Here is a 26465-nt window from a genome sequence, read left to right as displayed (position 1 = left end):
AAAAAAAAAAAAAAAAAAAAAAAAAAAAGAGAGGCTTGACAAATAAGAGGATGGTCATGTGAACTTGGCTGGGACAGTAGAGGGTCGGGTCACCAGGCTGGGAGCACAGGGCCCGTAGGATGGGGGCTGTGAGTTTGAAGAAGAGGACAGACATAGTAGCAGCGTGCAGCCATTTGAAGAGTAGAAGAGGGACACAAGGCAGAACTCTAACCAAAGGCGAAAGTTACAGGGAGATAGATTGTGGCTCAGTATAAGGAAGAAATGTCTAACAGGGCAGTCCCAGAGCAGAACGAGCTTTCCTTGTGGTTGCTGCTGGTGATGGTGAGGAAGATGATGATGATAATTTTCATTTATCCCATCAACTTCCGTTTCTCTCCTGTCCCATTTCCATCTGCATTTAAACATCATTTCTCATCTTAAAAATGCCTCCCCTCCCCAGCTTAATCCATCCTACCACCACTCCATGCCTCTCTTCTTTATAGCTGAGTCCCTTGAAAGAGTGAGTCACCAGGCCGGGTACGGTGGCTCACGCCTGTAATCCCAGCACTTTGGGAGGCTGAGGCAGGTGGATCAAGAGGTCAGGAGTTTGAGACCAGCCTGGCCAACATGGTGAAACCCCGTCTCTACTAAAAATACAAAAAATTAGGCGGGTGTGGTGGCACATGCCTGTAATCCCAGCTACTTGGAAGGCTGAGGCAGGAGAATCACTTGAACCCAGGAGGCAGAGGTTGTGGTGAGTGGAGATCACACCATCGCACTCCAGCCTGGGCGACAGAGGAAGACTGCATCTCAAAAAAAAAAAAAAGAAAGAAAGAAGAAAGAAAGGGCGAGTCATCACATCCACTTCCGCATCTTGATTCACTCACTCCTCTACCCACTCTAGTCTGGCTCCCACCCCCATCCCTTCTCTAAAGCCTCTCTTGCCAAGTAAACAACAATGTCGTTGTCACTAAATCCAATAGATACACCATGGACCTGACCTTCCTGGAACTCTCAGCAGCAGTTGACACTGACTGTGACCATGCCCCACTTCCCTCGCCTCCTTCCCTTAGCTTGCAGGAGTCCACTTGTGCCTGACTTTCACTGGATCGCCGTGGCTACTCCTCAGAATCTTTTGGGGACTTCTGCGCTCCCACGCCTTAAAGGTTAGCACTCCTTTGGGGCGTGTTCTAGGCCCTTTTGCTTTCTCATCTACATCTTCTCTTGCTGGTCGGTTGCACCTTCTTCCAGGGTTCTGGTTGCCGTCTATATGCTGGTGATATAGAAACCTACATCTCAGCTGCAGATTCGTATATCCAACCATCCATTCAACATCTCCATTTGTACATTCCATAGACACCTCAAACTCAATGCCTTTAGTCCTGACCTCATCTTCCACCCCAAATTGGCTGTTTCTCCTGCATTTCCTATCCCAGCAAGTTATTCCAGTACCCATCAGTTGCCCAAGCCAGAAGCATGGTGCACTCTTTGACTCATCCTCTCCTTCTTGTCCACTCACCCGTTCAGTTGCCAAATCCTACTGTTTCACTTCCTAATATGCTCAAATTCATCTACTTCTCTCCTCTGCCTCTATCACCTCCCCAGTCCAGGTCGCCAACAGCTCTCAGATCTGGACATCCCAATAGTCTCCTAAATGCCCTCCCTTCCTCCAGTCTCACCCTGTCCCCTCTACTCTCTACACTGCAATACTTTAGTGAGAGCATAGACTTTGGAGTGAGGTTCAGTCTCAGCTCTATTGCTTACTGACTACATGACCTTGGGTAAGTGACTTAATCTTTCTGAGTCATTGTTTCTTCTTTTGTAATAAGAGGATATTAGGGCTGGGTGCAGTGGCTCATGCCTGTAATCCCAGAACTTTGGGAGGCCAAGGCGGGTGGCCCATTTGAAGTCAGGAGTTCAAGACCAGCTTGGCCAACATGGTGAGACCCCATCTCTACTAAAAGTACAAAAATTAGCCAGGTGTGTTGGTGCACGTCTGTAATCCCAGCTACTCAGGAAGCTGAGGTAGGAGAATCGCTTGAATCCGGAAGGTAGAGGTCGAAGTGAGGCGAGATCATACCACTGCACTCCAGCCTGGGCGACAGAGCGAGACTCTAACTCCCTTGCAAAACAAGAGGATATTAGTATTCTATTGGGCAGGGTTTCTAGTTCTAAACAACAGAACTCACTCTGCTGAGTTTAAGAAGAAAGATTGTCCAGAAAAGACAAATCTCCAGAGGCAGAGAATAGATTCATGGTTACCTGGGTTGAGCAACCACCAGGAGGAAGTGGGAGTGGGGAGTGACTGTTAATGGGTGTGAGGGCTCTTACTGGGCTGATGAAATGTTCTGAAACTGGATTGTGATGATGGTTGCACAACTTGGGAAATTTACTAAAAGTCATTGAAATGTATATTTAAAACCGGTGATTTTCTGATATGTAAGTTATACCTCAAAAAAGTTGTAAAAAGAGACTTTCTTTTTTTTGAGACGGAGTCTCACTCTGCCACCAGGCTGGAGTGCAATGCCATGACCTCGGCTCACTGCAACCTCTGCCTCCTGAGTTCAAGCGATTCTCCTGCCTCAGCCTCCCGAGTAGCTGGGATTATATAGGTGCCTGCCACCATGCCCAGCTAATTTTTGTATTTTTAGTAGAGACGGGGTTTCACCCTGTTGGTCAGGCTGGTCTCGAACTCCTGACCTCAGGTGATCCACCCACCTCAGTCTCCCAGAGTTCTGGGATTACAGACGTGAGCCACCGCGCCTGGCCGATTTTTTTTTTTTCAGATAGGGTCTCACTCTGTCGCCCAGGCTGGAGTGCAGTGGCACAAACACAGCTCACTGCAGCCTCAACCTCCCAGGATCAAGCAATCCTCCCACCTCAGCCTTCCCAGTAGCTGGGACTACAGGCACGCAGCACCATGCCTGGTTAATTTGTTTTTCTGAGATGGAGTTTCGCTCTGTCGTCCAGGCTGGAGTGCAGCAGAGTGATCTCAGCTCACTGCACCCTCTGCCTCCCAGGTTTAAGTGATTCTCCTGCCTCGGCCTGCCAAGTAGCTGGGATTACAGGCACCTGCCACCACATCTGGGTAATTTTTGTATTTTTTTTTTTTTTTAGTAGAGAGAGACTTTCACCATGTTGGCCAGGCTGGTCTCGAATGAACTCCTGAACCCAGGTGATCTGCCCACCTGGGCCTCCCAAATGCTGGGATTACAGATGTGAGCCACCGTGCCCAGTCATCTTTTTTTTTTTTTTGAGATGAAGTCTCACTCTGTCCCCCAGGCTGGAAGTGCAGTGGCATAATCTTGGCTCACTGCAGTCTCTGCCTCCCAGGTTCTAGAGATTCTTTTGCCTCAGTCTCCTGAGTAGCTGGGACTACAGGTGCGCGCCCAGCTAACTTTTGTATTTTTAGTAGAGACAGGGTTTCACCATGCTGGCCAGGCTGGTCTTGAACTCCTGACCTCAAGTGATCCACCTGTCTCAGCCTCCCAAAGTGCTGAGATTACAGGCATGAGCCACTGCACCTGGCCAAAGTTAACGATTTTGAGATGGCGAGATGACCCTGTGTCATCCAGGTGGGCCCTGAGTGCTATTACACGCGTCCTTATAAGAGAGGCAGAAGGAGATTTGACACACACACAAAGAGGAGAAGACCATGTGAAAACAGGGCAGAGAAGTCTGAAGATGCTGGCCTTGGCTGGGCACAGCAGTTCCCGCCTGTAATCCCAGCACTTTGGGAGGCCAACGCAGGAGGATCACTTGAGCCCAGGTGTTCAAGACCCACCTGGGCAAGACGGTGAGACTCCATGATATGATAGAGTTGACCTGACCCAATCACATGAGCCCCTTAAAAGAAGAGAGTATTCTTCTTCTGGTCCCGGGAGAGAAGTCAGAGATTTGAAGCATGAGAACAATGCGTTGTGTCATAGCAGGCTTGGAGATGGAGAGGACCATGTGGCAGGGAATGTGGGAGGACTTCAGAATCTGAGAGTGGCCCCAGGCTGACAGCCAGTGAGGAGCAGAGCCCAGTCCTGCAGCCTCAAGGGATTGAATTTTGCCAACAACAAAAATGAGTTTGGAAGTGAATTTTCCCCAGAGTCTCCAGGCAGGAACTCAGCCTGCTGACGCCTTGATTTAGGCCTGTGGGACTGTATTAGTTTCCACTGCTGTGTAACAAATAGAAACTAATACAGCCTCAGACACCCCTCATTCCATAGGGCAGCTCACAGTCTGCAGAGGGACAGAGTGGGGCCCTCTAAGCCATGGGGTCCAAGGAAGGGGATCCCCTATTGTATGGGTCAAAGGGCAGTACTTCCCTCCATTCCTGAATTTGAATTCTGTGCACACCCAGCATCCAGTGTTATTCCTTGTGTATCAAAGTGTTGCCTGGGGCATATGTTTGGAAAGCTTGGGTCTCCTGTTGTGTCCTAGCTGCAAGGGAAACTGGGACATTCAGCTGTGACATGGATTGTGTGGTGGAACGCATAACACAGAGTGTTCCCTAAACATGGTTAGGCTGTTCAGGTCATGATCACCCACTCCCACAACCAATCTTCCAGGATTATGTAGGAGAATCAAATAGGCCAATACATGTCACATGCTAAGAACAGAACCCGGCACATGCTAAGTCCTCAGCAGTACTCAGTAGGTGTTATATTTCAAGCAGAATGATCTCTCTAAAATGAAAATATGAACATAAAACCCTTCATGTTTTCTGTTATGTTTCAATATTTTCTAATAAGATGCTGGGGGCTGGGGGACAGCTCTCCATGCTTTCTCAGTACCTGTGGGATGCAGCTCAAGGCGCTCCATGATCAGGCCCCTGCTGGCTTCCCCAGCCCCACCTCAGCCTCGCCTTCTCTGCCACTGTACCGGCCAGCTGTGGGCCTGTGAAAAAGCCAGACAAACTGCTCCTTCCTCTTCCCAACACTGTGCTACCCATGCAGCGGGGCTGGGAGGCTCCAGCCCAGGGTGGGAGGCTGCACTGGGGCAGCATCCCCGGAGGCCTGCAGGTGCAGGAGAGAAACCTCCATCATTACCCCTTGAAACAAGAAAATCAGATGCGGAGGCAGCTTTTCATAAGTCCACAGCCATTCATTTGAAAGAATCATGCTTATCTTTTGACATGATATGTTTCCAGCTATTTTGGTGTTTTGGTGTTAGACATGAAAAAAAGGATGCGGATAGATGGTAGTAGGCAGGTGTTTTAATTGCTTGCCTGATATCCTTTATTTATGTATTTATTTATTTATTTATGGGGTCTCACTCTGTTGCCCAGGCTGGAGTGCAGTGGTGTGATTTAGGCTCACTGCAACCTCTGCCTCCCAGGTTCAAGTGATTCTCCTGCCTCAGCCTCCCAAGTAGCTGGGATTACAGGCATGTGCCACCATGTCTGGCTAATTTTTGTATTTTTAGTAGAGATGGGATTTCGCCATGTTGACCAGGCTGGTCTTGAACTTCTGACCTCAGGTGATCCACCTGCTTCAGCCTCCCAGTGTTGGGATTACAGGCGTTGAGCCACCACGCCTGGCCCTTTATTTATTATTTTTTATTACATATATATTTTAAGACAGGTTCTCAGTCTGTCACCCAGGCGAGGGTGCAGTGGCGTGATCACAGCTCACGGCAGTCTCCACCTTTGCCTGGCCTCCTTCACAGTTCCGTGTTAGTCCTCAAGCCTCTCCTTGGTCTTCTTCAGGTTGGTAAAAGGCATCATCGTTCCTCAGGAATCTAGAGCCATCTTTCACCTCCTAGCAAATCTATCATTTCTGCCTCCAAAACACATCTCAGCTTTGTCCACCTCTCTCCAGCTCCGCCAGCCCATTCTAGCCCAAGCCTCTATCTCCTCGCATCTGGTGACTCCAGGAACCTTCTCACTGGTTCCTCACCGTCATTCTTGTCCCACCACACTCTATGCTCTGCACAGTGGCCCATAAGGCTTCTAGAAACATGAGTGAGATGGTTTTACTTCTCTGCATAAAACTTTTCAGTGGCTTCCCATGCACTGAAAATCAAATAGCAACTCTTCCCCTGAGCTGCCCTCAGCTCCGGCTGCTCCCTCCTCTCTCCCCAGGTTCTGGGACATGCTGTCCTTGCTGTTCCTCTTGTTTCCAGGTCTTTGCATTTACTGTTCTCTTCGTACTGTGTGTCACATGGCTGGATTCTTCTCCTCCTACGGGGTCACTTCCCGAACTGGGTTACCTCTGACCTTCCCCTCAAGCTCTAGCACATCACCCAGGTGTCAAGGGTGGGATGAGAATGTGGCAGACCTCCTGCTTCTACTTTTCTGAAGACAGTCAGGGGCAGGCTGGGCGCAGTGGCTCACACCTGTAATCTCAGCATTTTGGGAAGCCAAGACGGACGGATCGCTTGAGGCCAGGAGTTCGAGACCAGCCTAGCCAACATAGCAGAACCCCATCTCTACTAAAAATACAGACATTATCTGGGTGTAGTGGTGCATGCCTGTAGTCCCTACTAGGGAGGCTGAGGCAGGAGAATCGCATGAACCCAGGAGGTGGGGGTTGCAATGAGCCAAGATCGTGCCACTGCACTCCAGTCTGGGTGACAGAGGGAGACTCTGTCTCAAAAAAAAAAAAAAAAAAAGATGGTCAGGGTCAGAGGGGCCATGCTTGGGTTGGATTTGGATTTGCTCCTCCTGGCGTCTGGGGCCTCCCCGGCCTCTGTGCTGGGCTCACTTCTACTCAGCTGGAGGAGGCCCAGACTCACAGGTTTGTGGCCACCCACTGGGAAACAGGTGTCCAGCCAGGAGCTCCATTTTAACAGCCACAAACTAGCACAGCAGCACCATCTCCACAGCGACAGCCAGCCTGGGCCCAGGAATGACAGCATAGGCTCATGTTGGCGCCAGTGGAGGCTGACTGGGCAGTGGCGAAGCAGCAGCTCTGAGTGGAATTGTTTCCTGTGCCTCTCTCAATCTTCCTTAGTCTTCTGTGGCCATTGGAAAAGCTTCTGTGAGGACTGGTCTCCAGGGAAGAGGGAAATCCTCCAAAGAGAATGCAACCAACTTTTATTCCTTTGCTTACAATCTTCCCATGGCTTCTCAACCCACTTGGAATAAAATCTAAAGAATTATCCAGCCGGGTGCGGTGGCTCACGCCTGTAATTTCAGCACTTTGACAGGCCGAGGCGGGCAGATCACCTGAGGTCAGGAGTTCAAGACCAGCCCGGCCAACATGGCAAAACCCCGTCTCTACTAAAAATACAAAAATGAGCCGGGTGTAGTGGCATGCACCAATAGTCCCAGCTACTGGGGAGGCTGAGGTGGGAAAATCACCTGAACCCGGGAGGTCGAGGCTGCAGTGAGCCAAGATCATACCACTGCACTCCAGTCTCGGTAACCAGAGTGAGAACCTGTCTCAAAAAATAAAAAAGAATTCTCCAAAGTGGTGCCACCATAGGCGGCTTGGTTTAAGCAACAGCTTGGTGGTCACAGAAACCAAATAGTAGTAAAGTACCAAGGTGAGCTGGCAACCTCCATGGGCCAAGAAGCATGTCCCAGATGAGGAGCAGGGCTCCTGGTGGGACTCAGGAAGGGGCCGAGGTAAGAATAGGGGGTCAGCAATTGCTGATGGAGTCTCCACAGCCCAGCTGCAGGGCTGAGACAAGCCAGGACTAGAGAGGTACACTTAGAAATCCCTAATTTCTGGCTTTTGGAAAGACCTTGTAATAGATCACCGATTTTTGTCTGCCTACCCTCCCCACTTCCTTTTCCATTTGGTCTGGTCACAGAATCTTCCTTCCTAAGGAAAATCCACTGGATGTGGTTCACGTAGGGCTCACACGGCTCCCTCGTCTTCTCCCTACTTCCTGCTACGGGAGCCAGCACATGACCCAGGCTGGCCAATGGGATGACACCTTGGCCCTGGCCACAGTGATTGGTTCAGGGATGGATCTGTAACTCACATCTGATCAATCAGAGTCTTTCCTGGGACTTTCTTAGCAGAGCTATCAGGAAAGACTTGTTTGCTCCTCTGAGGTTGTTAAAAGAAGAGAATGTGAGGATATCTTGTACATACAGAGTTGTTCAAGAAGGAAGCCAAATAGAAGCAAATGGAGCCAGGATGTAGGGAGACGGATCCGTCCTGATGACACAGTTTGAACTCTTATCTTCATCCACGTCCGAGGACAGCACCATCTCTTCAACTGGCCAGTTACATGATCCAATAAATTCCCCTTTGAGGCTTTGTGGTTAACGCAAGTTGGGTTTCTGTCACTTACTGCCCAAACGATCCTGGCTGACACAGACCTGCTTAGCATCCTATCTACACAGACCTCCAACACAAACTCCTCTTGTAGCTGCATCCCTGCCTTTGAATCCAGATCTGAATTGGTTGTGAGAATAGAAGAAGCTGAACAGCCTCTTGGTTAATTTCCGCCATAACCAGTCCCTGCTTTGTATCCCATTTTCAATAACCGAGGCCCTGTCTCCTTATCCTGGCTCTTAGTCCTTGCAGCCCCAGTAGGGACAGCTGGCCAGAACCTGTCACTTGCTGCTGTATCCTGAACATTGCTCGAGCCTGTCTGGATTTCCACCTGTGGTCCACACCAGTCCTACTTGATGCAAAATACATTCCCCAATTCCTATGCCCCATGGGTCTACCCATTTCACAGATGGCTAAGTCATGGTTACACGAACTTAAGGCTTCACAGAGCAACTTAAGGCAGCATTTCCCAAACTGTGTACTGTGAGACTCCATTTGGCCATTTAGTGAGACGTTAATAGATAGTCCATTAACCAAGAGGAAAAAAGCAAAGCTGGTGATAGTTTTTTCTTCCATTTTATATTTTAAAATACAAACTGTAGAGAAACTTTTATATGAAGGTTATCTTCTAAAGTTGGCACTTAAGATGAAAATCATGGCTCATCAAAATTGCCTTTTAAACACTTAAATTGTCCACAAAGCATAGCAAACACCTCCCACTTCCCAGTGGGTCTGCTGGAACCAATTTTGCCTCCAGATCTAGAACAAGTTGCTGTTTTTACAGTTTTGCTCCAGGTGAAGGTGAAGGAGTTGACTTATTTTAGGGGTCATGTGGCTGAAAAATATGTACCTAGATTAATAAGTAGAGCAGCAAGATGCTCGCTAAAAAGCACGTGGGAACAGAGATTGACGGAGGGAACACCAGATGCCAGTATCCCATCTCACACCTACTCCAGCGAACCCGGTTGCTGAATCATTGCATTATTTATATTGTTCTCTCTCTCTCCATGTCCCCATGGAACATGTATAACTGAATTTGAGGGAGTTAAATACATGTAAGTTATGATTTCACCATGTGAAAGAAAAATATTTATCATTACAAGGTGTTCTCATAGTAATCTGTTTTTAGAAATTTTATTATTATACAATAATCTGAAGAAATTGAAGGCTGGGCATGGTGACCCACACCTGTAATCCCAGCACTTTGGGAGGCCAAGGCGGGTGGATTGCTTGAGCTCAGGAGTTCAAGACCAGCCTGGACAACTATGGTGAAACCCTGTCTCTACCAAAAATACAAAAAATTAGCTGGGCGTGGTGGTGTACACCTGTGGTCCCAGCTACTCGGGAGGTTGAGGTGGGAGGATTGCTTGGGCCTGGGAGGTATAGGTTGCAGTGAGCTGAGATCACACCACTGCACTACAGCCTAGGTGACAGAGTGAGACTCAACTCAAAAAAAAAAAAAAAAAAGAAAGAAAGAAAGAAAAGGAATTGTAGGCCAGACAAAGTGGCTCATGCCTATAATCCCAGCACTTTGGGAGGCCAAAGCAGGAGGATCACTTGAGTCCAGGAGTTTGAGACTAGCCTGAGCAACATAGGGAGACCCCCATCTCCACAAAAAAAAATAAAAAATTAGTCAGACATCATGGCGTGTGCCTATGGTCCCAGCTACTTGGGAGGATGAGGCGGGAGGATCACTTGAGCCTGAGAAGTTGAGGCTGTGGCGAGCTGTGATAATGACACTGCACTCCAGCCTAGGGCAACACAATGAGACCCTGTCTCTAAAAAAGAAATAAAAAGATTGTATGCTGGGCCCAAGAATGTCAGGAAGTCCCATCACCTGCTACATGAAATTGTGACATACAATCTACGTATTAATGCAGAAGGGGGCATTTACTAATTATGCTCTTTACCATTGGTCCTATGATAGCTGGTTTAAGTGATATGTCTTATTTTAGATTTCAGCACATATATATAAATATATAAAATACATATAAATATATATAAATATATAAAAAATATAAATATATAAAAATATATAAGAGATGGCAAAACCCCATCTCTACTAAAAATACTATATATATATATATATATTTTTTTTTTTTTTTTTTTTTGAGACAGAGTCTTGCTCTGTGGCTCAGGCTGGAGTGCAGTGGTGCAATCTTGGCTCACTGCAACCTCCACCTCCTGGGTTCAAGTGATTCTCCTGTCTCAGCCTCCCGAGTAGCTGGGATTACAGGCACCCACCACCATGCCCGGCTAATTTTTGTATTTTTAGCACAGATGGAGTTTCCACCACGTTGGCCAGGCTGGTCTCAAACTCTTGACCTCAAGTGACCTGCCCGCCTTGGCCTCCCAAAGTGCTGGAATTACAGGCATGGGCCACCATGCCGGACCCAGCATATATGTTTATCATTCAATATTTGTTGAACAGTAAACATATGAATCGAATAATAATAATCCTAATAATAGCATTATTAATAATAAGAACTAACACTTAATCAGGGATTACTATATGCCATATATTTCTCAAACAGCTTTGCATTTATTAGTTCATTTAATATTCCTATCAACAATTCTCCCCATTTTACAGATGATGAAACCAAGGCTCAAAGAGGTGAAGGATTTTTGAATCCACGTTTCCAGATTTCAAATCCTGAACTTGGACGTGGTTACTTTGAGGGTCAGAGCAGAGGATATAGATAAAAATACATACATGTATTTTATATACATATATACTATTATATAATCAAAAAAATTATTACTATTATTATTATTTTGAGATGGAGTCTTGCTCTGTCACCCAGGCTGGAGTGCAGTGGCTTGATCTTGGCTCACTGCAACCTCCGCCTCCGGGTTCAAGCGATTCTCCTGCCTCAGCCTCCCTAGTAGCTGGGATTACAGGTGTGCACCACCACTCCCCACTAATTTTTGTATTTTTAGTAGAGATGGGGTTTCACCATATTGGCCAGGCTGGTCTCAAACTCCTGACTTCGTGATCCACCCGCCTTGGCCTCCCAAAGTGTTGGGATTACAGGTGTGAGCCACCACTCCCAGACTTAAAAAGATTATTTTTAAAAATAGATACTAGTTATGGAGCTCTTATCCTATGTCAGTCATCATGATAAGGGCTGTTCATGCCTTTTTTTTTTGGTTAATTGCCACAACCCTATGAACAGATGCAGAAACTGAGGCTCAGAGAAGTTAATGACTTGGCCCAGAAGACATAGCCAGTACTATGAAATAAGTTACCCTAACTCTTAGTAAACTACACTGCCACTCTATAGATACAAATTGCCTTCATCATCATTATCAATCAGCACAGAGAATAAGAGGCACTCACCATCAGGGAAATTCAAATCACAACCACAATGAACTACCACTTCACACCCACTAGCATGGCTATAATAAAAAAGACAGACAATCAGCCGGGCGTGGCGGCTCATGCCTGTAATCCCAGCACTTTGGGAGGCCAAGGTGGGCGGATCACTTGAGGTCAGGAGTTTGAGACCAGCCTGGCCTACATGGCGAAACCTCATCTCTACTAAAAATACAAAAATTAGTGAGGAGTGGTGACGCACACCTGTAATCCCAGCTACTCATGAGGCTGAGGCAGGAGAATCGCTTGAACCGGGGAGGTGGAGGTTGCAGTGAGCCAAGATTGCGCCACTGCACTCCAGCCTGGGCAACAGAGCAAGACTTCATCTCAAAGACAAAAACAAAATGACAACAACAAAACCCAAAAAGACAGACGATAACAAGCGTTGGTGAGGATGTGGAGAAATTGGATCCCTCATACTCTGCTGATAGGAATGTAAAAAACTGCAGCTGCTGTGAAATTCAGCTCCACATTCCCCCCAAAGGTGAAACATAGTTAACATATGACCTAGCAATTTTTACTCTTAGGTACATATTCGAGAGAAAGGAGAATATATATCCACATAAAACCTTGTACACAAATGTTCATGTGGCATTATTCATGATAGCCAAAAAAGAGAAACAACCCCAATGTCCATCAATGGATGAATGGATAGAAAAAAGTGGTCTATCCATGCAATGGAGTACTACTCAGCCGTAAAAAGGAATGAAGTATCAGCCGGGTGCAATGGCTCACGCCTGTAATCCTGACACTTTGGGAGGCCGAGGCAGGCAGATCACTTGAGTCCAGGAGTTTGAGACCAGCCTGGACAAAATAGTGAGACCCCGTCTCTTTAAAAAAAAAAATTGAATGAAGTATCAACACATGCTACAACATGGATGAGCATTGAAAACACGCTAAGTGCCACAAAGGACCACATATTATGTGATTCCATTTATATGAAATGTCCAGAATCGGCAAATCCATAGAGGCAGAAAGGAAATTGATGGGTGGGAAGGAGGAGGAACAGTGTTGGAAATGATGGTGAAGGAGTGTGGGATTCCTTTTGAGTCGATTAAAATATTCTAAAATTGATTGTGGGGATGGTTGCACAACTCTGGGAATAATCTGAAAATCATTAAATGGTACCCTTTAAATGGGTCAATTGTATGGTGTATAAATTATATCTCAGTAAGTTTCTTTTAGAAGAAACAAAAACCAAAAAGCAGGGCCTTCCTGACGTTGGTGAGGACCTAAAGTTATAACACATTTTCAAGCCTGGTCCTATTCCTCCCAAGCATGGTGACTCAGATGCCAGCATGATCACCAGGCGTGCCCTGAGATCCTCGCCTCCTCCCTGGGGATCCAGGGTGTTGCCCTGCGCTTTCCTACCTTCCCCAGGCACGCCCTGCCCTGCGCGCCCTGGCGGGCCTGAAGTAGAGCAGAAAGGAATCCCGCTTGTCCTGTGGCTTCTCTCTGCTGCAGCCTGGCACCGTTTCCTCTTGCCTGCTGCTGCTTCCTCCCTCCCGCCCAGCTGGCTGTGAGAGCACGTCTCAGATTCGAAAACCATGTGAGATTCAGAATGTGCACCTGAAGCTGCCCGCTGGGGCTTTCTGTGCTGTCGGCCACTGCAGAGATCTGGGTCCTCCCCAGATCCCACTTACCAAACGTAGGAAAAGATGATCACGTGGAAGAACCACTTAATGGTGCCATAATTCATGCTCTGGATCCGAGTGACTTTGTTCGTCTCATACTGGAAAACATCACTGCAGCTGCAGCAGGCCGGCATGGTGACAGCCTCCCTCCCTGCGCGGAGCTGGACCAGAGCTCTACTCTTCCTGACAGGGCCACAGCAAGCCCCCTCCCAGTAACTGCAAAATGAAACGTACTGGTTTTTAGCAGGAGTCTTTAACTTCAAGCTCCTCCAATGACTGCAGAGTTGGGGCGGGCCCTGGCAGTGGCCCCACATGTGGCTGTGATAAACAAGAAGCGCCAAGTCCTACGGGCCTGGCTGGCAGATGACCTCACCCCAGCTGGCCTCCCCCAGATGCCTACACAAAGATGGTGTTCAGAGGATGGGCATTTTTAGAATTCTCCCTTTTCCCCCCTTTCCTTTCACTTTTTTGGTCTCATGTCTCTTGGGAGAAAGGGGCAGCCTTGCAAATGTCACAAGACTGGGAGCTTCCATTATGCCTCAGAAAAGGACTGAGATCTTTCCATTGCCTGAAGCCCCACTCAGAGATTGATTCATTCATTTCTACAACCCTTTATTCAGCCCCTGATGTATAGGAGCTCTGGGTAAATGAAGATCTCCCCCTCTTCTTCCACCGCCCCTTATAATACTCTGGTCTGCAGTTGGTGGGGGAAATCAGATTTGCAGGGGTAGGGGTGGTGGGGGTGGAGGGGCTTTATTTTTCTGCCAGATCTTTCATGCTTGACCCTCTGAGTTACTCTCCACCCTCCTCTGCACCCCGGCAGGTCGATCTATGACCTAGACCAATCAGCCAAAGATCACCAGGGACACAGTGGCAGTCCAACAAAGTTAGGTTTGTTGACCTATTCAGTGAGGGACACCACCCACCAGAAGAGCTACGCACATCACCAAACAAAGGAAAACAGCAATTTATTATAGGATTCCGAGGAAAGTGGAGTTGAGATAAAATCTAAATGAAGTCATGTTTTGATGGACTCAAAGCAAAACAGGTTTGTACAAAGCAGTCAACTTCAGTCTGGATTGCAAAGAGGACCCAGGGCCCTGTTTCCTAGGAAGCAACATAGCTAAGATACATGTCAAATGTGTCCAGAAAATCTTTATCTGAAGCTCTGCTCCTGAGTTGTAAATTGAGGCTGCTTCTCTGTGTCAAGATGACTTAAATCTTCCAGGCAAAATTGGAATATTTCAGTCTTAGTCATGTAATTTCAAACAGCAAAGTTTCTGAAGGTCTCTGATTTTAAAGGACAATGTTTCAGCAGTCACTCAAAGATGCAGGGTTGTATTATCACTTTACAGCTACAGAGAATTATTGTTCCCTGTTATCTTTACAGCTGGCTTGATCCCTTTCTGTTATTCCAGCCTGCTAAGTGGCCGGGTAGATTTTCAGTTTTTCAGTCTAAACTAATTGTACTTTCTCACACATACAAACTGCATCAGGGTTCCCCTCACCTTCTGGCTTCCAGTTCAGGAGACTGGAGAGCAGTGAGGATGGACGTGACTCCCTGGCCCTGCCCTTCTCAGTTGCATATAGGCAGGGCTTCTGGGCACCACTCCCTCCTTTAGTCCTGGGAGTGGTAAGGGCTCCCCACTCTTACCAGCCCCAGGAAGCTCACTATCTCCTATTGCTTTTTCTTAACTCTGTCCACACCTTTGTAAATGGTTCCATCATTAGTTACCCCACTTGAGTATGCCATTGCTTTCCTGCCGGGAATCTGAGTGATACGGTCATCTTCATCTGTAAAAAGAGGAGATTCACAGGTAAAGCCTGATGCTTAGAACATAGGCTCTAGGGGACTAATGGCCTGGCTTCCGATCCTGGCTTCACATCTTACCAGCTCTGTGACCCTGGACAGCTCTGTTTATGCTATTCATTCACTCATTCCCAAGAGCACCAGGAATAGTAGATATGGCAGTGAACAGGCAGACAAGTCAAATGTCCATCAGCTGATGGATGGATACACAAAAGCACGAAAGCCCATACAAGGGAATATTATTCAGCCATAAAAAGGAATGAAACACTGACCCATGCTCCAACATGGATGAACCTTGAAAACACTACGCTTAAGTGAAAGAGGCCAGACACAAAAGGATACATCTTTTACGACTCCATTTATAGGAAATGTCCAGAATAGGCAAATCACTTCAGTGTTGCTCTTGCTACCACTCAAAGACATCTATTTTCTTGTCTTTCTTTCTTTCTCTTTTCTTTCTTTCTTTTTTTTTTTTTTTTTTTTTTTTTGTTTTTTTGAGATGGAGTCTCCCCCTGTTGCCCAGGCTGTAGTGCAGTGGCAAGACTTTGGGTCACTGCAACCCCTGCCTCCTGGGTTCAAGCGATTCTTGTGCCTCAGCCTCATGAGTATCTGCAATTACAGCCATGCGCACGCTCAGCTGATTTTTGTGTTTTTAGTAGAGATGGGGTTTCACCATGTTGGCTAGGTTGGTCTCGAACTCCTGGTCACAAGCGATCTGCCCGCCTTAGCCTACCAAAGTGTTGGGATTACAGGCGTGAGCCACTACACCCGGCCTGTTTGTTGTCTTTCTGCTGCACTCTTGCACTGGTCCCTCATGCTCTCCCCTCTCCACTCCTTCAGCCCTTGTCCGCTATTTCATCACTGCTACCTCCTCCACTCCATGGATTCTGTTCTCAAAGAGGTTACCAAAGACTTCTCAGTTGCCAGACTGGGTGGATATATTTTATTCCTTATGTTACTTGATCTCTTGGATGCATTCAACATCACTGGCTACTTTCTGCATCTTGGACCAGTATTTTCCCTTGGTTTCCATGACTTTCCTGGGTCCCATGTTCTCCTGGTTTCTCATTTGTACTTCTATGACTCTTTATCTTATCTTTCTTTTTAAAAAATTAATTTAATTAATTTATTTTAGAGACTGGGTCTTGCTCTGTCGTCCAGGCTGGAGTGCAGTGGCGCAATCATGGCTCACTGCAGCTTCAAACTTCTGGGCTCCAGTGATCCCCCTACCACAGCCTCCTGAGTAGCTGGGACCACAGGCACATGCCACCAAGCCTCGTTAATTTTTTTTTTAATTTTGTAGAGATAGGGTCTTGCTATGCTGCCCAGGCTGGTCTCGAACTCCTGGCTTCAAGTGATCCTCCTGACTCAGCCTTCCAAAGTGCTGGGGTTACAGGCATAAGCCACTGCATCCAATCTTTGTCTTATCTTTCTCTGGCTCTCTTCTCCCTGTAAATATCAGTTCCAGCAAATTGTCTCTCAGCACTTCTTATGATTCTATCAGGATAGGACAGGTTATGCTGCAATAACAAAGCACTCTCAGTGTCTCATGGCTTATAGCAGTGATGAATTAATTCTCACTCACACTATATGTCCATCATGGGTCTCCCAGATGGCTCAGCTCTCTGTAATCACTCAGAGATCGAGGCTAACGGAACAGCCATTGTCTTGAACTCTTTAATGAGAACTCTGGAGAGTCTCACAGCAGCAATGAAATGTTCTGACCTCGTGATGGAAGGAATATAAAGTTACCAAAAAAAAAAAAATTGGGGATTGAACGGTGGATTTCTTAGTCTTGTGAGTGTGTGGGTGTGTTTACAATTTACAGAAAATCAAGTGACATTCTTCAGCAGAAAAGGGAGTTTTTTTTTTTGAGGAAACACTTATCTCACAGACTGCAAGTGCAGGAAATGTGCCCAACCTCATGAGAACCTATTAATAGAATCAGAAACCAAACTGTCCTGTGCTGAGGTTGCTCTTTCAGTTTGTCTGAAGCCCGCCTCTGTTTGTCTCTGTGTGCCCATTGCGAGTCTCTCTAAACACTGGCTTCCTCTGTTTCTCCCAGGGCACGTGGTTCAGCAATGCTCTCCAAGTTAGGTTCCACAGTTCAAATGCAAGCCCAGATCCCCTGCCCAGTTCCAGAACTCAAGGGGAATGAATCTGATTGGCCTAATTCTTTATCCCTGGTCCAATCAGCTATGGCTGTGGGCGGGGCCATAATCACACAGGGCGTCAAGGGCCAACCTCCGTTGGGGGAGAAGGGAGGGAGGAAAGAAAGGAAGATGGCGGGAGAGAGAGAGAGAGAGAAGGGGGGTGGGAAGAGAGAGAGAGAGAGGGAGAGAGAGAATGAGAATGTGACTCTCAGAGAATAGAGGCTCCAAGGCTGAGGGACTGCTGGTTAAATACCCGTTCCTCCCCCAGGTGGGACAACTCTGAGACAAGTCTAGGCAGTCTCCAGAGGGCCTGAGGGGGTCTGAGCCCAGATGCCCACAGCCGTGACCTGCTCTTTAATTAATTAATTAGTTTTATTTATTTCCAGTGTCTTGCTCTGTCGCCCAGGCTGGAGTGCAGTGGCACGATCTCGGCTCACTGCAACCTCCGCCTCCCGGGTTCAAGCGATTCTCCTGCCTCAGCCTCGCTAGTAGCTAAGACTACAGGCGCGTGCCACCACTCCCGGCTAATTTTTGTATTTTTAGTAGAGTTGGAGTTTCACTATGTTGCCCTAGCTGGTCTAGAACTGCCGACCTCAGGTGATCCGCCCGCCTCAGCCTCCCAAAGGGCTGGGATTAGAGGTGTGAGCCACTGCGTCCGGCCTCCTGACCTACTCTTTAATGCTTCCTGTGTTGACTGCCTTCCCTTTCCTGTCTCACTTCCCCACTCCTCTTCCTGGGTCGCCTCCCAAACAAACTACTTGGACCTGAATCTCGTCCAGCCTTATGTTCTGGTGTTAAAGAGTCTGTCTGGAATTTACCCTGAGAACAATAGGTGGGTTTATAAACGGGTGTGCATGGTCTCATTTGCAGCTCAGTCAGAGCACTCTAGCTGCACCATGGAAAATGGGCGGAAGGGGCAAGAGTGGAGCCAGGGGTCTGCCCAGGGAGAGGGTAGAGTGACATGGAGGGGGACCGAAGACAGATCCCTGAAGGACACCAACACCAAGGAGACTAAGCTGAGGCAGAGTAGGGAGGAGAGGAAAGCCGAAAGACAGTGAGTCCCCAGAGGCCATGGGGTGAACACTTCACAAATAAACCGGTGACCACGGAGATATTAAGAGCGATGGTAAATCTGTGTAATTAAAGCAGCTCTAGTAAGGGAACTGACAGACACATTATTGGAACAGGGTGGAGTCACGTATTAAACACAAAGATAGGTGCAGACCGGGTGCGGTGGCTCATACCTGTAGTCTCAGCACTTTGAGAGGCCAAAGCAGGAGGATTGCTTGAGCCCAGAAGTTTGGGACCAGCCTGGGCAACATGGCAAAACCCTGTCTCTACAAAAAATAAAAAAATTAGCCAGTTGCGGGAGTGCACACCTGTAGTTCCAGCTTCTCGAAAGGCTGAAATGGGAGGATCCCTTGACCCTGGAAGGTCAAGGCTGCAGTGAGCCAAGATTATGTCACTGTACTCCAGCCTGGGCCACAGAGTGAGACTCTGTATGCAATAATGAAAAAAAAAAAAAAAAGAGTAGGAACTTAGTGTGCAATAAAAGCATTTAAATCAGGGGAGAAAGAAATTTCTCCAAATAGGATCTTTAAACAATTGGCTGCTCGTTCAGGGGAGGTCAGAGGAGACAGGAAAATGTACTCAAACTTTACAGATTTGCAAAGGTGTGTAACTATTTAAAATGTGATAGAACTGCCATGGGTAAACTGAGTCCTTTCCCTACTTTGTGTCAGTTGCAAAGAAAGAACACAAATTGGAGGGTTGCGGGGAGGAAGGCAAGCAGGATTTATTCTTTGGCCAGAGAAGGAGAAGGAATGACCTCTTGCTCCAGAGACGCCTCCTCCTCCCCAAGATGTGGGTAGCTGGGGAATTTTAAGGAGTTAGATATGGGGCGGGGAGGTTTGTATGTTTGTGCAGGGAGGAACTTTAGATGTGCAGGTGCAAATCATAAACATGTCTCTTCACAGGATGCATGTTTAGAAAATGGCAATTTTCTACAAAGATTAGCCAGGTGTGGCAGCGCACTCCTGTAATCCCAGCTACTCGGGAGGCTGAGACAGGAGAATGACTTGAACCCAGGAGGTGGAGGTTGCAGTGAGCCAAGATTGCACCACTGCACTCCAGCCTGGGCGACAGAGCGAGACTCTGTCTCAAAAAAAGAAAAACGAAAAAAAGAAAAAAGAAAATAGCAATTTTCTTCTCTGGGTGGGAATTTTAGTATTATAATGATATATTAATGGTCTAAAGATAGCAAGGAGTCCCTGATTCTGCGTTGCTCTGGTTTCCAGCAGGCTTTACCTTCCTCTGATAATTGGCAAAAGGTTCTGAAGCTCCCAGGCCATCTGGAGTCCTTGTAAACTAGCATACCTACAGGTAAAGAGACTGAAAGAAACTGTTTAAGAAACGAAATGGAGCTTTTGCAGCTATCTACTGCTTAAGAAAATAATGAGTGTTCAGCTGGTTTGCTCTCTCGGCTGTTTCTCCAGGACTGCCCCAGGAGCAGAGTCTCCAAAAGTGAGCAAAATCAGCTACACAAAATGGGACGTGCAAGTTACCCATATGTTTGTGTTGCACACATTTTGCATGAAAGGTAGAAAGTGCAAACAAAGAAAACTGGACACTCTTTGAAGTTACTCAACTGATGACGACACCTCACTCTCTTCTCTACGTGGCTGGTGTTCCATCTTTCCTCCCACAGACGCTGTGAGCATGTCAGTACCAGTGGGGCTTTGCAGCCATGATACAAGGCTTTTCTTCTCTGTCATGTGTACAGAGCCATGTACCACCATGGAACCAATGTTCCAGCCATGGTTCACTGTGTGGTTTCCTTCTTCATAACTGCCACGACTAAAACAACACGTCAAAGCAATATTTTTTTCCTCTTTATTTCTCCGGGGCAATTTCTCAGTGAATGTGCCTTTTTTATTTCTTTTTCCTTTTTTTTTGAGACGGAATCTCACTCTGTCGCCCGGACTGGACTGTAATGGTGTGATCTCTGCTCACTGCAACCTCCGCCTCCCGGGTTCAAGCGATTCTCCTTCCTCAGCCTCCCGAGTAGCTGGGACTACAGGTGCGCGCCACCACACCCAGCTAATTTTTTTGTATTTTTAGTACGGATAAGGTTTCACCATGTTGGCCAGGCTGATCTTGAACTCCTGACTTCATGATTTGCCCGCCTCGGCCTCCCAAAGTGCTGGGATTACAGACGTGAGCCACTGCACCCTGCCGAATGTACTTTTTTTTTTTTTAAACTCTATCTTACTTCCTTCTCATCACCTAATTCAGAATTCCTATAATCGTTGGTCGAGAGTCTATTGCCTAGTGATGTCAGAGGGTTCGCAGAAACCCCAGTGCCTTGGTATCCACAAATGTTTTTCTTTTAGTTATGCTGAACTGGTGCTGCCTAATAGGGCAGCCACTCACACATACTTCAATTTAAATTAATTAAAATGACGTAAAATTTAAAATTCTTGTTTTCAGCTGTACAAGCCATATTTTGATAGCCCCCTGTAGCTAATGGCTACCATATTGAACAGCAAAGATATACGGTACTTACCCAGCAGTATAGAAAGCTCAACCGGACAGTGCTACAACAGTTGCAGGTAAGCAAGCAAGGTAAGGATAGTCCCAATCAGATAGATGGCATCTATTTTGTGTGAAGCCTTGTGAGGTGGCTCACACCTGTAGTCCCAGCTACTTGGGAAGCTGAGGTGGGAGGATCACTTGAGGTCAGGAGTTTGAGACCAGCCTGGGCAACATAATGAAACGAAAATAAAAAAATTTTTTTTTTCTGTGTGAAATAGGAGGCACAGTAGTCCCAGCTACTTGGGAGGCTAAGGAGGGAGGATCACCTGAGCCCAGGAGGTCAAGGCTGCAGTGAGCCATGATTGCACCACTGCACCTCAGTCTGGGCAACAGAGCAAGACTCTGAAAAAAAAAAAAGAAAGAAATAGAGAAAGAGAGAAAGGAAAGAAAGAGAGAGAGAAAGAAATAGGAAGCAGAGTTGCTTAAGAGTGAGAGGGAAGGCAGGTGGGTGGGATGGTGGGATGAGTATAGAGAAGATTCGAAGGAAGGAAGGAGGGAGGGAGGGAGGAAGGAAAGAAAGAGAGAGAGAAAGGAGAAAGAAAGAAAGAAAAAGAAAGAAAAGAAAGAAAGAAAGAGAACGAAAGAAAGAAAGAGAAAGAGAGAAGGAGGGAGGGAGGGAGGAAGGAAGGAAGGAAGCAAGGAAGGAAGGGGAGGCAGAGGTGCCTGAGAGTGAGAGGGAAGGCAGGCAGGTGGGAGGTGGGATGAGTGTAGAGAAGATTCAAAATAGTTGCTATGGTGAATGGGAGGAGAGAGCCAACAGGGAAAACAGGAATTCCAGAGTAGTGGTAAGAATTAGAGACCATGAATTTGTTATTGCCAACAGTCTAGGTGACTGAGATTATGGTAGAGGCCTGGGCCTTCCCACCAATAGGAACCGCCTCCTACCTCCACACTCAGTAACCACCAGGACTTGCCAACTGGTTCACATAGTTTTAAGATGTGTCATCATTGGTATCTACTATGTTTGTTATGGTGTTGACATGTGTTACTGGGACAGTAGCTAGTCAGGTCCAAGATACAGGAGCAAAAGGCTGATTCAGTTGCTCTGCCCATAGGTCACCCTCCCCTGGGGCTTGCACCCCTGCCAGGCAGGAAGCTTCTCTTTGTCCCCTAACTCAACTCAGCCACTGGGAATGACTTCGTTCATTCAACTTAATCTGAGTATAACTACCCTACCTCCTTATGAATGCTGGATTTCTTTTAACCTCAAGATCTCCCCTCTGTTCCCCTCTACCCAAGCCAAATACCCATGCTATCCTTGGGAACTTTAAAAAATATCTATTTCCTAGTCAAGACAGCTGGCCACTTCACATAACAACGCAGGTCTTCTGCAACCCTAAACAAAGGCTGGAGATGGATGGGGAAACGCTCTCCTAATGGTGGATGGGTAGAGAGACGTCTGAGGTTTCTGGAAGACTGAGGACCTATTGTTTTCTCCACCAGTCTAAGCAGAACAGGTATAAAAACAGAATGGAAGGAAATTTACATTGATCCAGGACTGGGCTTTTGCTGCAAGTTGCAAATTAAGTTATTTAGGGTGCTTTTGTCTGAAAGTAGCAGAATGCCTGACTCAAGCTGGCTTAAATATGAAATAAATTATTATTTCATGTATTGGGATATCCTGGGGGAAGATACTTCAGATGGGGTTGATTTAGTGGTTTGACAACATCATCAAAGATCTGGGTTCTTCCTGTCTCTATGCACTGCCACCCTTGTTGCTGGGTTCATCCTCAGGAGGAAAGATCATCAGTTCTTTTGTCTCTTTCATGGGAAAATCTTTCCCAGAGTCCTCTTTACCCCACCTCACTCTACCCTCTAGAACTAGAAGTGAGTCACATGACTGTTTCTCTCCTGATAAGAGACAGGGAATGACCATGACCAACTTGGACCAACCGTCTGGGTTGGAATGGATGTTGGGGAGTCATTCACAACATCCATGACTGGGTATAGCAAAGATCATGGAATCTAGGCTGGATGGGAAAGGAATTGGAGGAAGGAGGGTCCTGAGAGGGAGAAAGTGGAAGGGCCAAGGGATCCTGGAGTTCGAAGAACTGCTAAGCTGGAATGATCAAAAGAACAGAAGGTACAAGTCTGTGATCAGAGAAATGTGAGACTTTAGAGGAAGATTCGTTCCAGGAGAAACTGAGGGCCAGTACATGGTCCAGGGAGATGGTGGCTAAAGTAGAGTGGAGGTGAAGGTCATTGGAATAAGAAGGGACAGGAGCTGAAGGGCCAGGAGTTCGGCCAGGTCCTGGGTCATTAAAGTCACCAATATGGCGGTAGGAACTGGGGCGAGAAGGGTAAGCCAGTTGCCAAAGCCCTCTGAGAATAACAGTTGATTGATTGATTGATGAGTAGGCATCATCAATGAGAAGGCACAGAAGGTGGTACAGCTAGATGTCAGGAGCCTCAGTGCTTACTCAAGATGGAGGACTATGGATCTGGAAATAGAGGTGTGGAGCATAGAGGACACCATGGGGGTGGGAGACGGACTACCATCCCCTGGGAAGGGCTTCGAGGACTGTCAGGGAAGAGCCAGGTCTTACTCAGGTCAGGAAGTAGAGGGAACTTTGTATGCAGAGGTCAGGACCTTAAAAATAAAGAGCACACCCCACTCTTCCCTTTCACCATCTCACAGGCTGGAATGAGAATCTGTAGGTGAGCCACCATTTACCCAGAGTGTGGGCCATATCCCTACCCGGTAATTGGTAATAGAAGCGTGCTTGAAACAGTCCTTCCCACGTGTCCGTTAATCCTTAGAGCTCGTCCGTATCAGGGGTGTAGCAGACACTCCTAGTTGCCCATTCAAAATCCATTTTAGGTAGGGCACAGTGGCTAATGCCTGTAATCCCAGCACTTTGGGAGGCTGAGGCAGGAGGATCCCTTGGGCCCAGGAGTTCGAGACCAGCCTGGGCAACATAGCGAGACCCCTTTTCTCTACAAAAAAATAGAAAAAATAACCAGGTGTGGTGGGCATGCGCCTATAGTCCCAGCTACTCTGGAAGCTGGGTGGCAATTGTGGGGGATCATTTGAGCCCAGGAGGTCGAGGTGAGCCGTGATCATGCCACTGCACTCCAGCCTTGAGTGCTCAGTGAGACCCTGTCTCAATAAATAAATAAATAAATAAATAAATAAATAAATAAATAAAGCATTCTATTTTCCTTATTAACAGAATCCCCAATTTTGTTCGGGTTTGAAACCCTTGAGAAAGACAGCTTCATCCCCAATTCAGGAGTATCACGTTAGTCTCATTCTGCTTGTGGTTGACTCGTGTAGGAATGGATATGAAAATGAGTATATGGCTATGAAACGTGAGAGGAAACTTGTTGGGGGGCTTCTAAAGAAAGATGTAGGGGCTGGGCACAGTGGCTCACACCTGTAATCTCAGCACTTTGGGAGGCTGAGATGGGAGGATTGCTTCAGATCAGGAGTTCAAGACCAGCCTGGGCAACATAGTGAAGCCCGTCTACAGAAATGTTAAAAATTAGCCAGGCGTGGGTGGTGCACACGTACAGTCCCAGCTACTTGGGAGGCTGAGGTGGGAGGGTCACTTGAGCTCAGGAGTCAAGGTTGCACATCGCTGCACTCCAGCCTGGGTGACAGAGTGAGAGCCCATCAAGGAAGGAAGGAGGGAGGGACAGAGGAAACCAAGGAAAGTAGGAAAGAAGCCAGGAAGGAAGGAGGGAAGGAAAGAAGGAAGGAGTCATTCCTAAGAAAGAGACACAAGAAGAGATGGCCTTTCTGAAATGACACGCTCTGGGTGGTAGAGCAGAATGATGGAAAGAACTTGGTTTGAACCGCTGAGTTAACTAACCCAGGAGCCACCCTACCTTGGGACTTCTCTCTCTCTCTCTCTCTCTCTGAAATATTGTTTAAGTCGTTTTAACTGGGCTTTCATTTACTCTTAGCCAAAGAATTCTGTGATGATCAGAAGACTGACCACAGCATCCCTGCAGAACAGAGCCAGACAAACATCCAGGCAAACATCCGCCTGCTGGAGGCAGCCTGCCTGGGTGCTGGGATCAGTCTCAAATCTAGCACACAATGGGCCACCCACGCTGGCATCTTTCCTATGGTGTCCTTGCCCTGGCATCTCCTGGTCATTGATAGGTCCTGGAATAAGGTACTGGAATGTGGCTCAGGTGTCTACTACCTTATAGAACCAAAGCCTCAATTCCCTTCCATTTTCTCATTCCCCTTGAGAGTTCTGGCAGCTTCTCCTTTAGTCCAACTAACACAGAAGAGATGCTCTCATTCAAATAATGGATGGGTTGACTGCCTCTAACTAGTCCGCCCTTCCTTCCTTCCTTCCTTCCTTCCTTCCTTCCTTCCTTCCTTCCTTCCTTCCTTCCATCTCTCGCTCTCTTTCTTTTTTGAGACAAGATCTTGCTTTGTCATCCAGGTTAGAGTGCAGTGGCACCATCATAGCTCACTGCAGCCTCGACCTCCAGGGCTCAAGCAATCCTCCCACCACAGCCTCCCAGTAGCTGGAACTACAGGCATGCATCACCACACTGGGCTAATTTTTGTATTTTTTGGAGAGATGGGGTTTCGTCATGTTGCTGGGCTCAAGAAATCTGCCGCTTCGACCTCCCAAAGTGCTGGGATTATAGGTGTGAGCCACTGCGCCTGGCCCAGAATTTCATTTCTTTTAAAGGCTGAATAATAAGTCTGTTGTACAGATATTCCACATTTTGTTTGTCTGTTAATCCGTAGATGAACATTTAGTTTCTTTCCACTTTTTGGCTACTGTGGATAATGCTGGTATAAACATGGTTCTACAAATTCCTATTCATGTTCCTGCCTTCAATTCTTTGGGGGGATATAGCCAGTAGTAGAATTGCTGGGTCATGTGGTAATTCTGTATTTAAGTTTTTGAGGAAACACGTTTTGTTTTTTCTTTTTTATTCTTTTAACACAAAGAACATTTCTTCTGTATTTTTATGTAATCTGCCAGGATAGCCACGCGTGCCTGATAGCATCTCCTTTTAAACCCAAAAGCTGAATACATCACCCTTGGAAGGGGAAATATCTTCCTTGTATCAGTGAGTCACCGCCTCTCTCGCTAAAGCAGAAATAAAAATTATTAATTTAATTCCAGCTGGGCACATTGGCTCATGCCTGTAATCCCAGCATTTTGGGAGGCCAAGGCAGACAGATCATCTGAGGTCAGGGGTTCGAGACCACCTTGGCCAACATGGTGAAATCCCATCTCTACTAAAAATATAAAAATTAACTGGGCATGGTGTTAGGCATCTGTAGTTCCAGCTACTCAGGAGGCTGAGGCAAGGGGATCACTTGAACCTTGGAGGTGGAGGTTGCAGTGAGCCGAGATCACACCGCTGCATTCCAGCCTAGGCAATGAGTGAGACTCCGTCTTAAAAAAATAAAAATAAAAATAAAAATAAAAATGTAATTCCAACAGTGCATTTTGCTACAGAGGATAGAGAGGGGAAGCAGAATAAAGTTATGCTGAATAGTTGGACATTTAGGACATGAGACAAAAAACAGAAGCAGAGAGACTGAGAGAAGGAAGAGAGGAGCTGAGTTATGGGGCTGTGGCGTGAAGACCACCAGCCCCAAGACTCCCTCGAGTGATCCTCAATAAAGAGTTCCTCCCTAGTCCTGGACTCCAGGAGGCCTGACTCATTTACAACATGTCTTCTTGTTTTCTACGAGATCTCGTCTTCCATATT

General features: G+C 47.0%; 1 protein-coding gene and 1 long non-coding RNA gene across 14 annotated transcripts in view, besides 2 other annotated features; one reads left to right on the top strand and one right to left on the bottom strand.

Annotated features, from left to right (window-relative positions):
- P2RX7 (purinergic receptor P2X 7) overlaps positions 1–13440 on the bottom strand; it is a 55157-nt gene extending 41717 nt beyond the window's left edge. For all 13 annotated transcript variants that reach the window (NR_033948.2, NR_033949.2, NR_033950.2 and 10 more), the window contains exon 1: positions 13221–13440. Coding sequence is in view for 2 of the 13 variants with exons in the window: in NM_002562.6 (NP_002553.3) it covers positions 13221–13345 (125 nt within the window). In the remaining 11 variants the exon portion in view is untranslated. The remainder of the gene's footprint in view (positions 1–13220) is intronic.
- The window catches only part of LOC105370032 (uncharacterized), an 84641-nt gene extending 63757 nt beyond the window's left edge, over positions 1–20884 (top strand). The window contains exons 3-4 of the long non-coding RNA XR_001749352.3: positions 19475–19556; positions 20664–20884. This is a non-coding gene — a long non-coding RNA (uncharacterized LOC105370032). The remainder of the gene's footprint in view (positions 1–19474; positions 19557–20663) is intronic.
- Positions 2320–2469: an enhancer, noted in NCBI's record as "active region_7157". NCBI's record gives its function as "activates an Ori minimal core promoter by ATAC-STARR-seq in GM12878 lymphoblastoid cells {active_cell/tissue: GM12878}" and the evidence as "EXISTENCE:reporter gene assay evidence [ECO:0000049][PMID:35858748]".
- Positions 17036–17330: an enhancer, noted in NCBI's record as "tiled region #4268; K562 Activating DNase matched - State 5:Enh, and HepG2 Activating non-DNase unmatched - State 8:EnhW". NCBI's record gives its function as "activates a minimal TATA promoter and a strong SV40 promoter by Sharpr-MPRA in K562 cells, with weak activation in HepG2 cells {active_cell/tissue: HepG2 | K562}" and the evidence as "EXISTENCE:reporter gene assay evidence [ECO:0000049][PMID:27701403]".
- Positions 20885–26465: the final 5581 nt, after the last annotated feature.

This window comes from Homo sapiens, chromosome 12 (assembly GCF_000001405.40).
Source record: "Homo sapiens chromosome 12, GRCh38.p14 Primary Assembly".
In the NCBI taxonomy this organism is placed as follows: Eukaryota; Metazoa; Chordata; class Mammalia; order Primates; family Hominidae; genus Homo; species Homo sapiens.
Note: the sequence above shows the minus strand (reverse complement) of the source record. Positions and strands in the feature narration are given on the sequence as shown.